We start from the raw sequence: 14,397 nt of genomic DNA on the forward strand, positions 1-14,397 counted from the left end.
AGTTCTACCATTCCTTCTTCATTTATTAGTCAGAATAGTTCTAAAATGAATTTTTTTCTTATTTATGATCTGAATATCTTGAGGTCCAATTCATACAGGAGAGGCAGAATAAATGCTTGTTTCCCATTATTTTTCAGTTTTTCAAGTAATGAGTAGTTTTCTTGAATCTTCCAAAAGTGACCAATAAAGTTTTGTTTCGTTCAATATCATTATAAACTCATGAATTTAAGTATGTTTGATGCACTTTAATCCATTGTGGTTCTTTTTCTTTTTCTTTTCTTTCTTTTCTTTTTTTTCTTTTTTTTTGGTGAGACAGAGTTTCACTCTTGTTGCCCAGGCTGGAGTGCAATGGCGCAACCTTGGCTCACTACAACCTTTGCCTCCTGGGTTCAAGTGATTCTCCTGCCTCAGCCTCCCAAGTAGCTGAGATTATAGGTGCCCGCCACCATGCCCGGCTAATTTTTGTATTTTCGTAGAGACGGGGTTTCACCATCTGGTCTCTACTAAAGAGACCAGGCTTGTGTTTGGAAAGACCATTACAGGCTGGCCTCAAACTCCTGACCTCAGGTGATCTACCCACCTCGGCCTCCCAAAGTGCTGGGGTTATAGGCGTGAGCCACCACGCCCGGCCCATTGTGGTTATTTTTATATTTATCCTCAAATTGCCCCATTTTTAGCTGGTGGAAGCTTATTGAAATTAGTTCTTCAGTCCTTCTGACATTATCCCAGTAGTCTTCAGCTTTAGTATAACAAGAAGTTTTAGGCTCTTGTACATTTCCTTCCTTGGACTTGGACTCAGTCATTTCTCCAAGGAGTCCTGGTTCCTGTCACTGGGAAATGCTATTCAGAGGCCACAATCTAGGTGTCTTAGCTCAGGATGCCATAACAAAATACCACACCAGGTGACTTAAACCACAGAAATTTACTTCTTCTAGTTCTAGAGTCTGGGAAGTTCAAGAGCAAAGTACCAGCCTGGTAGGTTTCATTCTGAGGCTTCTTCTCTTGGCTTGTGGGTGGCTGCCATCTCACTGTGTGTTCATATGACCTCTTCTTTGTGGACAGAGAGAATGAGCCCTTTGGTGTCTCTTCTTATAAGGTCACTAATCCCTTTATGAGGGCTCTGCCTTCATGACCTCATCTAACCCAAAGTAATTACCCCCCAAAGGCCCCATCTCCAAATACAATCACATTAGGGGCCAGGGCTTCAACATATGAATTTTAGGGGGACCCAAACATTTAGACCAGAACATTAGGTATATTTACATCTCTCCTTTCTTAGCTAGACAGTAGCACCTATAAACATTCTGTGCCTGGCTTTTTTCACGTAACCATGAGCCAGCAGATTACTCACTAGCAGTAAATAAAGGTGGTCCTATTCCTAGTTACAGCTGCATAATACTCCAGTTCGTAGATGTGCATTCAACTAGTCCCTTATTGATGAATAACTGAGTTGATGCTTGTCCTTCCCTATTACAAATTATCCTGCAATGGATAGTGTTATACATGTGTCTTTTTGTTTGTTTTATTTTGTTTTGAGGTGGAGTCTCACTCTGTCACCCAGGCTGGAGTGCAATGGTGCAATCTCAGCTCACTGTAACCTCCACCTCCTGGGTTCAAGTGGTTCTCCTGCCTCAGCCTCCTGAGTAGCTGGGATTACAGGCACCTGCCACTGCACCTGGCTAATTTTTGTGTTTTTAGTAGAGATGGGGTTTCACCATGTTGTCCAGGCTGGTCATGAACTCCTGACCTCAGGTGATCTACCCACCTCGGGTTACGGCGTGAGCCACTGCGCCCAGCCCATGTGTCTTTCTGTATCTTTGCCAGTCAGTGTACCTTTGGAATAGATTCCTAAAAATGGAATTGTTGGGACAAAAGATAATGCATATGCGGTTTTCCTGGATATTATCTTTCATGGGGTTGTGACATTTTTCATTATTACCAGCCACATATAAAGATACTGTAGCCTGTTCAAAAGTGTGTGATGTCAAACCTTTAGATTTTGGCTAATGTCTTTATAGGTGAAAAATAGTATTTCAGAGTAGTTTCAGTGAGCATCTCTCCTGTTACGGGTAAGTTGAAGTAGGTTTTTATATGTTTAAGGCCCTTTTTGCCCATTTTTAAGTGGGATTGTTTGTTCTTCTCTAATTTTTAGAAGCTCCTATTCATTAGGGATATTAACCTTTGTCTTTTATATGTTCCATACATCTTTCCTACTTTTTAATTTATTTTTAAATACTATTTATGGTAGTTTTTATTATTTGAAAGTTAAAACAACTTTTTTTTGTAAAGTGTATGGCTTCATAACTTAGACTGCAAAGATGCCTTCAGGGGGCCTGAGTCCCATCATTTTTGCGGGGTTTTGAGTGTCAACCGATACATGCATTTTTCTGGACAGTCCTTTTTTTTTTAATTTGAGTCTTATCACTTAAGAGATTATGTTTAGATTCTCAAAATCTAAGTGCCTTGCTCCTAGGCTTTGGCGGGCACCTGACCCCTGCCATTTCAGACCTCAGTGTCTCCGCTGAAGAGCAAGTCCTGGGCAGAGTGCTCTTTAAGCCCCTCTCAGCCCTGACTTGGGTTTAATCCAGAGTCAGGACCTGCCTAGGTCTTCCCTGCAACAACCACTCTGCCAAATCTAACTCTTCTCCGGTGCTGCTCTCACTGGCTAAATTTAGGATAAATTTTCACCGATTATCGCCCAGAACAGCGGTGGATGAATCTGGAGCTTTTGCGTTGGGAAAAGTCTCCTTGGGTTATCCAAGAACATTGCCAGGCATTCAAAGTCAACCAGGGGCCTAGTAAATGAAGGCATACCCAAATTACTGCCCCAGAATGGAGAGGATTTGGGCTCAGGAATAAAATAGCCAGCAGGGGTTAATGAATAATTAGACATTAATTGTTTGTGAGTAGAAACTAATTAAACTTCACTTGGATGGGAGAAGGGCCAAGCTGCCTGTGTTATGCCTCAGAGCAGCTGGAATGAGCTGTTCTTGCTCCAGGACCAACCTTACCAGCACCAGGGGGAGTAGCAGAGATGACTAATTAAGAGTTTTTTAAAAGTCTCTACAATGTAGCTGAGTCCCCAAATCCAAAGTCCCAGTAGACAGAGCAATCCACAAATGCTTGAATTGCCCTTCCGTTTGCCCTTCACTTAGGGCTGCTTTGGTGGCTGTCTAGGGAGAAGCAGGTCTGGGATTCCAGGATCACAGTGAGGGATCAGGCTGTTTAGACATAAGCCGTTGTTGAGAGTCCCCAGAGTCCAAACCCAACAGGCCTTTGGCATTCCCTGCAGAGCACACGGAGCTGGGAGTCCCCCGGTGATGGAAGGCCTCTTCTGGAACCCGAGCCTCTGGCATAGTTAGCTACTAGTGGGTTTGGGGTCTGGGCTGAGGCTACCTGGGGCCGAGTTGACCACTTAGATGCTCTTCTTAGCGCTCAGTGGGGAGTAGGCATTCGAGAAGAAAATGGGGACTATTGTCCAGCCGGGGATGTAGGGCAGGGCACAGAGTGGCCACCCAGCAGAGGTTCGTGGATGAATGTGAGGTGGGGTTGTGTTGTGCGTGGAGGCGCTCCACTGGTCTAGGGGTGGGCAAAGAGCCCTTAGACTCGACAACAAAAGCGAAACATTGATAAAGTGAACCTCGTCACAATGAAAACTGTGACAGACCTTGTTAAAATGGTGAAAAGACAAACTGCAAACTGGGAGAAAGTGTTTGCAAGCCACTTGTCCAACAAAGGACTACTGTCTAGAATATAGAAAGAACTCTTAAATTTCAACAGGTAAAAAACCCCCAAACAGTCCAATTAGAAAATGGATAAAAAACATTTGAGACAAGAGGATATGGAGATGGAAAATAAGCACATGAAAAGACGTCCGTCATCATTAGCCGTCCAGGAAATGTAAATCAAAACCACAGAGGCATCACCACAGTCCCATCAGAATGGCTCAAATGACACACAGTGATAATATAGTCACAGGACTAGAAAACCACAGCTGTCGTGAAGTCAAGACTGAAAGGATCCAGTCCAGAGAGTAGACTCTTTCCTGTCCATAGGGGCCTGTCTGGATGGCCTTGGCCACCCGTTGTGGCCTCCAGCAACTCCACCACCCACAGTGTGGAGTGGCCAGGATCAGGCTGCCCTCAATCCAGTTACAGAGCCAAGCTCCCTGCTCTGCCTCTCTGGACAACTGAGGATAAGCTGCTACTAAATCAGTTTATTTTGAACTTCCAGTCTGGTGACCTAGTCCAGGGTTTTATGGAAGCTGAGAGATTGCTTGCTTTTGTCTCAGTTTCCATTTATGCTATTTATGAAACAAATCATACAATTTTAAACAGACAGATAAAAGTTTTAAACTAATTTATCTTTTAAACTATTTTCAATTCAGTAAAATAACAGCAACTACTATTTATAGGCTAATCTCTGTGCCAGGCTCCATGCTAAGCACTTTATGTGCATTACCTAACTGAATTTTTACAACACCCTTGTGAGTGTTAGATTTTTCCCTTTTTACAGATGGAGAAATGGGTTCAGAGAGGTTAAGTAACTTGCCTGAGGTCACACAGCTAGTAAGTTGCAAAACAAAGATATGAATCCAGCCACACCTTACTCCAAAGCCTCTACACCCTAGTGCCTCTCAAAAAATGATGGAGTTTCTGAAGTTGGGTGGTTCCCACCTGGAACTCCCAAATGTCATTGTTACTAACTCAGGATGGTCTTATTGCTAGAATAAACAACCTCACATCTCAGTGGTTAACACATTATTCCGTTGGTTGGAACTTAATTGCATGGACCCCATCTAACTGTGGAGGAGGGTGGGAAACGTTGTCCCACTGTGTGCCCAGAAAATAAGGATTGGTTAACAAGGCTGGGCGTGGTGGCTCACGCCTATAATCGCAGCACTCTGGGAGGCCGAGGCTGGTAGATCACCTGAGGTCAGGAGTTTGAGACCAGCCTGGCCAAAACAGTGAAACACTGTTTCTACTAAAAGTACAACAACAACATCAACAAAATTAGCTGGGTGTGGTGGCACACACCTGTAATCCCAGCTACTCAGGAGGCTAACGCAGGAGAATCGCTTGAACCTGGGAGGCAGAGGTTACAGTGAGCTGAGATTGTGCCACTGCACTCTAGCCTGAGTGACAGAACAAGACTCCGTCTCAAAAAAAAAAAAAAAAAAAAAAAAACAGAATTGGTTAACAAATGACAATGTCTCAGCCAAGTTCACCTCCAGTGATTTTTTGTTTGTTTGTTTTGGTTTTGAGATGGAGTCTCACTCTGTCACCAGGCTGGAGTACAGCGGTGCTCACTTGGCTCACTGCAACCTCCGCCTCCTGGGTTCAAGCGATTCTCCCGCCTCAGCTTCGCGAATAGCTGAGACTACACTGGCGCAACCATGCCCAGTTAATTTTTGTATTTTTATTTTTAAAATACAAAATATTTTTATTTTGTATTTTTAGTAGAGATGGGGTTTCACCATGTTGGCCAGGATGGTCTCGATCTATTGACCTCGTGATCCGCCTGCCTCGGCCTCCCAAGGTGTTGGGATTATAGGTGTGAGCCACCACGCCCGGCCCACCTCCAGTGATTTTTTACATAAACTCCTTCCCAAAGTCAAGGTTAGCATGGTCTGACCAAGGCGTAAACCAGCCAATTTTTGTGCAATGCCATGAACAGAAAAAACACTTTCTCTTCTTAGTAGGGCCAAGGGCAAGGCACCATGCTCTCTGATGATATTTAGATAATAAATTTTGAGTCCCCTTTGTCCTCTGAATCCTTTCTTGTCCTTATGCAGAGAAGCTTTTGCTGGCCAGGCTGGACTGGAGGCTGGCCAGGGGCATGAGAGAAGCCTCTTCCCACCTGGGAGCTGCACCATGCAGACCCAAACATCTTCCTGATGGAGCCACTCCCCCTTACCCACTGGCATAGTGCCTTTGAGCTCCTTGCTTGACTTTGCCAGGCCAAGCAGGTGGCATTGCCCTGACCTCACAGACCAGAAAGGATCATGTGAGAGTGGTCTGGAGTAGCTGGGCAGTGTCCTGGGCCTCACCAGGTACCCACCATGCCCTCCGCACCAGGCCCTGCCTGGAGCCTGACCCCAGGCCAAGAACACTCATGAGGACACACTGAGCAAAGGCCTCCCACAGCACAGACAGAGGTTCGGTGAGTCTTTACTGCTGCCTCTCCTGCCTTCGCCTCTCTGACCTGCCAAGTCAGCCCATGACATAGACAACTCAAACGCACAGAGACAGCAGGAATTTGCACTAATTCAGTTAAGCACTTAGCCTATCAAGTGGCAGCAAATGCCTGGACTAAATCCCTCTGTGGAATGGAGCAGGACTGCTGCCCTCAGGTCCCCGTCGTTGGTCTTTGCAAGCTGGGAGGAGCCCTCCCACTATCATACCTGCCCCAGTGCAAGGGTGTATATTAGAAATGATGATCTGTCTTGGAGGATTATATATTTTATTGGGCATGTTGTGGGCAGGGCTGGCCCTGCCATGGACTCTTTGTGACTGTGGGTGCGCCCTTTCTGAGCTTCAGGTCTCAGTTTCCTCACCTGTCAAACGAGAATGAATCATGTATGGTCTTTCTGCCTTGCAAGTTTGTTGTGGGATAATTTGGGGGAGGAGGAATTTTGAAAAGAAACCAACACATCCAGGCAGAAGGCTCCCAGCCATAGTCGTGCTTGTGGCAGACTATAGGACAGATGAGCCAACCTTCATTCCCATCGTTTCCCCTCCCACACCCTGCTCTCAGGGCTGGAGAGGCAGCAGTCTCACTTTCTTAGCCTCTTGTGTAGTGCAGGTGGGGGTGGCCACGTGGCACGGCTCCGGCCAATGAGACGTAACAGGGAGTGAGCTGGCGGCTCCTGGGAGGACTTAGCTCTTCTCATTAAAAAAAAAAAAAAAGGGAAAGCCCGGGCGAGGTGGCTCACATCTATAATCCCAGCAATTTGGGAGGCTAGTCAGGAGGGCTGCTTGAGCCCAGCTCAGCCTGGTTTGAGATCAGCCTGGGCAACATGGTGAAAACCTGTCTCTATTTTAAAAATACGAAAATTAGCCGGGCATGCTAGCACACGCCTGTAGTCTTAGCTACTTGGCTACTCGGAAAGTTGAGGTGGGAGGATCCCTTGAGCCTGGGAGGTTGAGGCTGCAGAGAGCTGTGATGGGGCCACTGCACTCCAGCCTGGGTGACAGAGCGAGACCCTGTCTCAAAAAACAAACAAACAAACAAAAACTGAAAAAGAGCAAAGGGGGCTAACCTGGCTCTTGTCCCTTCCTGCCATTTCCTGCCTGGAATTCTGAAGATGTGCCAGGAGCTGAGGTGGCATCTTGGCCCCACCCTGATCCAGTACGACCTTATCTTAATTACATCTACAAGGACTCTATTTCAAAGAAGGCTCTGTTCTGAGGTTCTGGGTAGATGTGAATTTGGGTCGGGGCGGATGCTATTTAACCCACTACATGCCTCATTCCAAAGAAGGCCATGTTCTGACCTAATTACCTCTGCAAAGACCCTTTTCCAAAGAAGGCCTTGTCCTGAGGTTCTGGGTAGATGTGAATCTGGGTAGGGGGGATGCTATTTAACCCACTATATGCCTCATTCCCCAAATCTAATCCATCAGCAAGTTCTGTTAACCTTACCTCCTAAATACGCTCCAGACCTGGTCACTTCTCACCACATCAATTCAACCATCCCACGCTGAAGTCCTGTCACTGTTCACCCCACTCACCAGCCTCCACCAGCCTCCTAAAGGGCCTCTCTGTTTTGATTCTGCACCCCCATACAACCCCCCTCAACTCCCCTCCATGTTCATGTTCCGTTCAGCCTCCAGAGTTAGCTTATTAAAAAGATTAATTCCCATTGAACAATCCTCCTGAATAAAACCTGCCAGTGGCTTCTCATTGCTTTTAAAACAAAATGCAAAATCTTTTCATGGCTAGTAGGCCTACCCCGCTCCCTTTCTGACCTCTCACCTCTGACCTTATCTCCTCCTGTTCTCCCCGGTTCCCTTCTGCTCCTCAGTCCTGCCAAGCTTCTTAGTGTCTTGGGGTCTTTGCACTTGCTATTCTCTGTGCCCCAGATCTGTATGCAGTGGGGGCCTACGTCTCATTTAGGCTACCTCTCAAAGGTCATCTCTTAAGAGGGGTCTGCTTTGATTACCCAGGTCGGAAGCACCCTCCAAACCTGCCCCCCAGTCCCTCTCTACCGTGTCACCCTGCTTAGTTTTCCTCACACTGCTGCCTGCTGCCTGATCTGTCTGACGGTATTCATTTCTCTGTAGACTTGGCTCTGACAACTCCCACCGAGTGACAGTTGCACAGGGGACACCTGCCTGTCTTGTTCACTGCTGTGTCCCTAGTCCCTGGAACAGGGCCTGGCACATCGTAGGTGCTTTAGGTTAGGTTATTTCATGAATGAGTAAGTGGGTAGAGTTACGGGGCACAGGGGAGAGTCTACAGGGCTGGGGCGCACAATTCTAAATCGGGCAAGAGCCCCTTAGCCCACCGCCTGTGGATGCAGGAGGGAGGGCCGGTGAACCGCCCTCCCCATTGCTGTGTCTTTCTGCCTCTCACTTTCTCTCAGGCCCCATGTCCACAGTCTGTTCTGCCTTTTTAAGAACAATGAGTCAATAGGCCCAACTTGCTGTGCAGGGAATTACGTTCAGCTGGTGTAATTTCCCCCTTACCTAGAGAGAAAGGCCAGCATGAAGGTGCAACCGTGAGGACCGTTCAGTTGCATGGGAGAGGAGAGGAGCACATGGGGAAGAAGAACCAGGGTGGCTGGGAGTGGACAGGATGCCCCCAGTTTCCAGCCCCTGCCTCTGGGGCATGTGTGTGAGGCTCAGCTGGCAGCCACCACAGGCATGGCGGATGCATGGCTATGTCCTGTGTGGCTCACTTACCAGGAGCAAGCTGTCTACCCAGGAATGGCCTCTCCCCTCCACCCCGAGTGGTCAGAGCCGGCCTCTCACTGAGCCCCCAAAGCTGACAGGGTCCCCTGGATCATCAGGCCTTGACTACTCAACCCAGAGACTGCTACCCCAAAGTGGGGCTTCTGGGCCCTACGGCCCCCCTCACCACCCCAACTCCGCCATGGCGGGAGCTGCCATTAGAGATTTGCAGCTCTATCCCCTCAGGGCTCCCGTTCTTCTACCACAGCCACCAGGAGCCACGCTGAAAGCCATCATGTCCCGAGGGTGACCTGGGCTGCATGCTCTGCCTGGACCTTCCCAAAGGCATAAGCCTCAGAGCTGAACAAACATGGAATCAAGATCTGAAATGTGGCTGGGCGCGGTGGCTCACGCCTGTAATCCCAGCACGTTTGGAGGCTGAGGCGGGCGGATCACCTGAGGGCAGGAGTTTGAGACCAGCCTGACCAACATGGTGAGACCCTGTCTCTACTAAAAGTGCAAAAATTAGCTGGGTGTGGTGGTGCGCACCTGTAATCCCAGCTACTCGGGAGGGTGAGGCACAAGAATCCCTTGAACCCAGCACGTGGAGGTTGCAGTGAGCCGAGATTGCACCACTGCACTCCAGCCTGGGTGACAGAGGGCGACTCCACCTCAAAAAAAAAAAAAAAAAAAAAAAAAGAAAGATCTGAAATGTAAATGCCACCGTTTTATCAGATTAAGCATCATCCCATCCTATTGAGGGTCTTTTTTTCTTCACACAATTTCCTCCCCGTTTCCCCAAACAACACTATGTTGGTTTCTGTTTCTCCTGCACTTGGCCTCCTTCCCTCCCCACCACTCCCACCCTGCTATCTGTGCTGCCTCGACAGCTTCCCAGTGGGTCTCCCAGGGTCACGCGGCCCCCTCCACTCTGCATTCCTCATTGCCTGCCTTGGAGTGATCTTTCTTCCACACATCTCACCAACCCTCACTCAAAACCCTTTTGTGGGCTGGGCACAGTGGCTCACGCCTATAATCCCAGCACTTTGGGAGACCGAGGCGGGTGGATCACTTGAGGTCAGGAGTTCAAGACCAGCCTGACCAACATGGTGAAACCCTGTCTCTACTAAAAATACAAAAATTAGCCTGGCATATTGGCGGGTGCCTGTAATCCCAGCTACTGAGGAGGCTAAGGCAGGAGAATTGCTTAAACCCGGGAGGTGGAGGTTGCAGTGAGCTGAGATCGCTCCACTGCACTCCAGTCTGGGTGACAGAGCAAGACTCCATCTCAAAACAAACAAACAACAACAAAAAAAACCTTTTTGTGGCTCCCACTTACCTGCTGAAAAAGTTCAGACCCGTTAGCTGAGAACTCAAGGTTCTCTATAATCTCCCCCATTTATCCGTCCGTCCTCATTGTTGTCTCCCAGTTCCCTGTGCCCCAGCCACAGCAGACTTTTCATGCTCTCCAACGCCTGGGGACATTGCCAGCCTCAGGACCCTTTGCCCATACCATCCCTTCTACCTGCTGTGACTGTGTTGTGGCTTGAACTGTGTTCCCCTCAAAAGACCTGTTGGGATCCTAATCCCTGGTACCTGTGACAGTGACTTTATTTGCAAATAGAGTTTTTGCAGATATAATCAAGTTAAAATGAGGTTGTACCAGTTGGGGTGGGCCCTAAATTTAATGACGAATGACCTATAAGACAGCCATGTAAAGACACAGGGACCCAGAGATGCACAGGGAGAAGGCCATGTGAAAACAGAGGCCGAGGCTGGGGTGATGCCCTCAAGCCAAGGACACCAAGGGCTGCCAGAAAGCTCCAGAAGCAAGGAGAGGGACATGAAGCGGGTGCTCCCCCAGACCCTCCAGAAAGGACTGGCCTGGATGACACATTGCCTTTGGACTTCTGACTGTGAGGCGGCACCTTTCTGTTGCTGCAAGCCACCAAGTTTGTGGTGGTTTGTTGTGGCAGCCACAGGACACAGGCAGCCTGGCACCTGGATGCCACCCACAAACGCGTCGCCTGAACACAGCCTGCCCTTCCTCTGCATCCAGTCCCTTTCCACCTCCTCCCTGACACCTTGCTTCGTGTTTCCTGAGAGCTGTGTGCTCCTGCTGAGGTACTTCTCTCTGACACCTGTTTTCTAGCTCTCCATGTAGCCGTCTGGCCCCACCACTGGAAGCCCCTTCAGGTCTGAGTTCCCTGGGGCTGGTTTGGTTTTCTCTATAGTCAAGCTTGAGGTGGGTAATCAGGACAGCCCCCAGCCAACCCAAGGACGGTGACTGCTCCATCAGGAAGCACCACCTATTCCATTAGCAAATATATATCGAGCACCCAGTGTGCATGAGGCATTCTTCTAGGTCCTGTAAACAGAGCCATGAACACACTGGGGGCCTCACAGAGCACATGCTCCAGGGGGAAAGATGGTCTACACCTATCACATGGCACTGCCACAAAGGACTCAAGAAGAGCAGTTCAAGGGCACAGATAGTCCTGTTGGGGGAGCATTCCTATTAGGAGGAAAAAAAACTCATTACACAGACCTCCGCATAGATGATGGCCCAATTGGGGTCAGTCTGGGGACAGAAGACAGCATGAGTCAGCCACACTTCAGCCATCTGAAAAATTCTCTGTGCTCCCCTGTTGCAGACAGAGAAACTGAGGCAGGGGAGTGCTGCTGTTTTTTTCAGGGTATCTCAGCCAGGCAGGGGCTAGGACTGGGAGTCAAATTGGAAGCCCCTCCCGCTTCTGACTTCATCCCTCTGGTTTCCTGTTGAGCCCTCTGGAATGCATGTTTCCCTGCAGTGACGCATAGTCAGGGAAGGCAGGCGCTGGGGCCGTGCCCTGACTGAGTGTGAGGTAAGGGCTCTGTATTAGTCAGTTTTCACACTACTGATAAAGCCCAAGACTGGGTAATTTATAAACAAAAAGAGGTTTAATGGACTCACAGGTGTACGTGGCTGGGGAGGTCTCACAATCATGGCAGAAGGCGAAAGGCATGTCTTACATGGCGGCAGACAAGAGAAGAGAATGAGAGCCAAGTGAAAGGGGAAACTCCTTATAAAACCATCAGATCTTGAGAGACTTATTCACTACCATGAGAACAGTACGGGGGAAACTGCATGTTTTCAGCTCTCTCTCACCGGGTGCCTTCCACAACACGTAGGGACTATGGAAGCTACAATTCAAGATGAGATTTGGGTGGGGACACAGCCAAACCATAGCAGACTCCTTTCTGCTGTTCCCCTCCCTGGTCATGTGACTCACATGCCCTGCAGTGAATCCTAACAGCAGCATGAGAGCACAGCAGCCAGAATCCCCCCGGGTTGGACACCCTGTGATGGCAAGGTTAAGGGGTCACCCGACAGTCAGAGAGGAAAAGAGCAGGTGAGTGTCTCAGATGCGCACACACCCAGCCACCTGTTGGGAGTGGACATGAGCAGGGTTGGGCGGGAGAGGTAGTGTGTGAAGGTGTCCCCAAGTATCCTCTGCCTGGAGCCAGGCAAGAAAGGTAAGAAGTCACGTGTCTTCCAAGAGTGGCACCAGATGGAGGCCTTTCCTGTTTGAAATTGACTGGGTTTTAGGCGGCTCTGGAGCTTCTTCTTTGCTCAGCTGATGGCAAAGCTCTTGGAAGCTTGATGGTGGGACAAAGCTTAGAAGCAGTTAGAAGTGCTAACCAGGCACGGGGGGTTCAGAGGTGGCGGGCACACTGGGAAGTGCCACGGAGAGGCTTTGAAACTGGGCAGGCTAGTCAGTGCATGGACTGATTCAGCCCAGCAAGTATTGATTAAGCACCTGCCATCTACCTGGCACTGTGGGTTTACAGTGTGGGAGCAGGGCAGAGGGAAGTGCCAGCACATCCCTGCAGAGGGATGAAGAGGTGGCAGTGGTGAGGTTAGATAGCTCGAGCCCAGTGCAGATGAAGATGGTGAGAGCAGAGTCTGTGCACCCTCAGCCCATAGCAGCGAGAATCCTGCTGGTTGTGTACAAAGAGGCCAATACACCCGTAGGCCACAGGAACCTAACTCTAACTTATTAGAGTGGGAGCAGGCCCTTCTCCTACTCAGTTTCAAGGATGGTCCTTCCTGGAGCCAGAGGACTGTCGGAAATGACTGTGTGGGTCCTTCCAACCTGGGGAGTCTGTGATTCTAAAAACAGGCAAACAACCTCAATCTCCCTGGATCTCTGCCTTCCCACCCCCAGCCCCCTCTTCCTTAGACAAAGGGCTCTTGGAGGGATCTGAGGCTCATTTCATAGAAAGCTGAAAATAATATGAAGTAGAGTTTCTATTTTAGAGGGTAACACTTACATAAGGTGGGATCTTTCAAAATGTTCAATCTGATACCTATTTAGGGAAACATCAAACAGCCCCACAAACACAGCTCGGGGGAGGAGGCCACTCTGTTCTCCTCCGCATCCCCAGCTGGCTGAAGTGGTCTGTGGAGCTGCGGGGCATCTTAGATGTGCCTCCTGGCATGAGCAGGTGCCATGGGCTGGCTTCCTCAGCCAGGCAAGCCTGTCATCCTGCTCACTGCCTGTCCCCTGCATGGGTCAGAATCAGGGTGCTTGCTGGAGACCCCAGAAGGGCTGGGCACCCCCAGAGATACTGCAGGTGCCCCATGGAGGAAGAAAGCCTCCAGGTCGTGTGAACCTGGGACCTCAATCCAGGTCTTTTGGCACTCAGACCTCAAGCACTTTTGTTTGTGCCACATGGTTCTTGAGAGTTAATAAATAAAGGGCGGGGGAGCGGGAAGGAATGTCCTAAAGGCTTACTTGGTTAAATCTTTACCTACTTCCATTACCAGGCTCAACTTTGAAATTTCAGAAGGAAAGGAAGAGATGAAAAGAAAAATGTCACATTTCAAATCCTTCCCACAGTGACTCATTTCAGAAGTGGGGTTTCGTCCTTTTTAAAAACAGAATCAATACCGTCTTTCATGAAAACAGCTTTTGTTTCCCCTTCAGCTGCAAGCCTGACCGATCCTTCTTGGCTCAGTGCAGAGCCAGAGAAGGAGGCCAATGAGCAGCTCTCATTGCGGGCCTGGCAGGAACACCAGGGCAGGGCAGGGCGGGAGGGTGGGGAGTGCTGTTTGGAGGGAAAGAAGCTAGAGAGACCCTCTGCCTTCTTCAGGAAAGGCCTTCACTGTTAACACCCCCATTCCCACCAGCTTCTAGGCCCTCACCCCACCCAGTAAAGCCAAACATCAAGCAGGGGACTGTGGACGCCACTCATTTTCCTAGAGCATCCTGGTCAGTGGATTTTAGAATGGTCCCAGCACCCCAGAAACATTTGGGTCTCTCCTCCTCACCCCCATATGGGGGTCAATCAGTGGACAGCCTAGGCACCTGCTTATGGGGTACTTTATTTAAATGCCTTAATAATTGTTACTTTTTGTTCTTTTGTTTTTTGGATGGAGAGACTCAAACATCTGTGCTCTGCATGCCACCCCTTTAACAGTTTAATACACTTATACTTTAAGTATGTGTACATTTGGAGCA

The 14,397-nt window shown here is 48.9% G+C and overlaps 3 annotated features.

Moving 5' to 3' along the window:
• Positions 13,892-13,941: a silencer, noted in NCBI's record as "silent region_11208". NCBI's record gives its function as "represses an Ori minimal core promoter by ATAC-STARR-seq in GM12878 lymphoblastoid cells {active_cell/tissue: GM12878}" and the evidence as "EXISTENCE:reporter gene assay evidence [ECO:0000049][PMID:35858748]".
• Positions 13,972-14,021: a silencer, noted in NCBI's record as "silent region_11209". NCBI's record gives its function as "represses an Ori minimal core promoter by ATAC-STARR-seq in GM12878 lymphoblastoid cells {active_cell/tissue: GM12878}" and the evidence as "EXISTENCE:reporter gene assay evidence [ECO:0000049][PMID:35858748]".
• Positions 14,032-14,131: a silencer, noted in NCBI's record as "silent region_11210". NCBI's record gives its function as "represses an Ori minimal core promoter by ATAC-STARR-seq in GM12878 lymphoblastoid cells {active_cell/tissue: GM12878}" and the evidence as "EXISTENCE:reporter gene assay evidence [ECO:0000049][PMID:35858748]".

Source organism: Homo sapiens, chromosome 2 (assembly GCF_000001405.40).
Source record: "Homo sapiens chromosome 2, GRCh38.p14 Primary Assembly".
In the NCBI taxonomy this organism is placed as follows: Eukaryota; Metazoa; Chordata; class Mammalia; order Primates; family Hominidae; genus Homo; species Homo sapiens.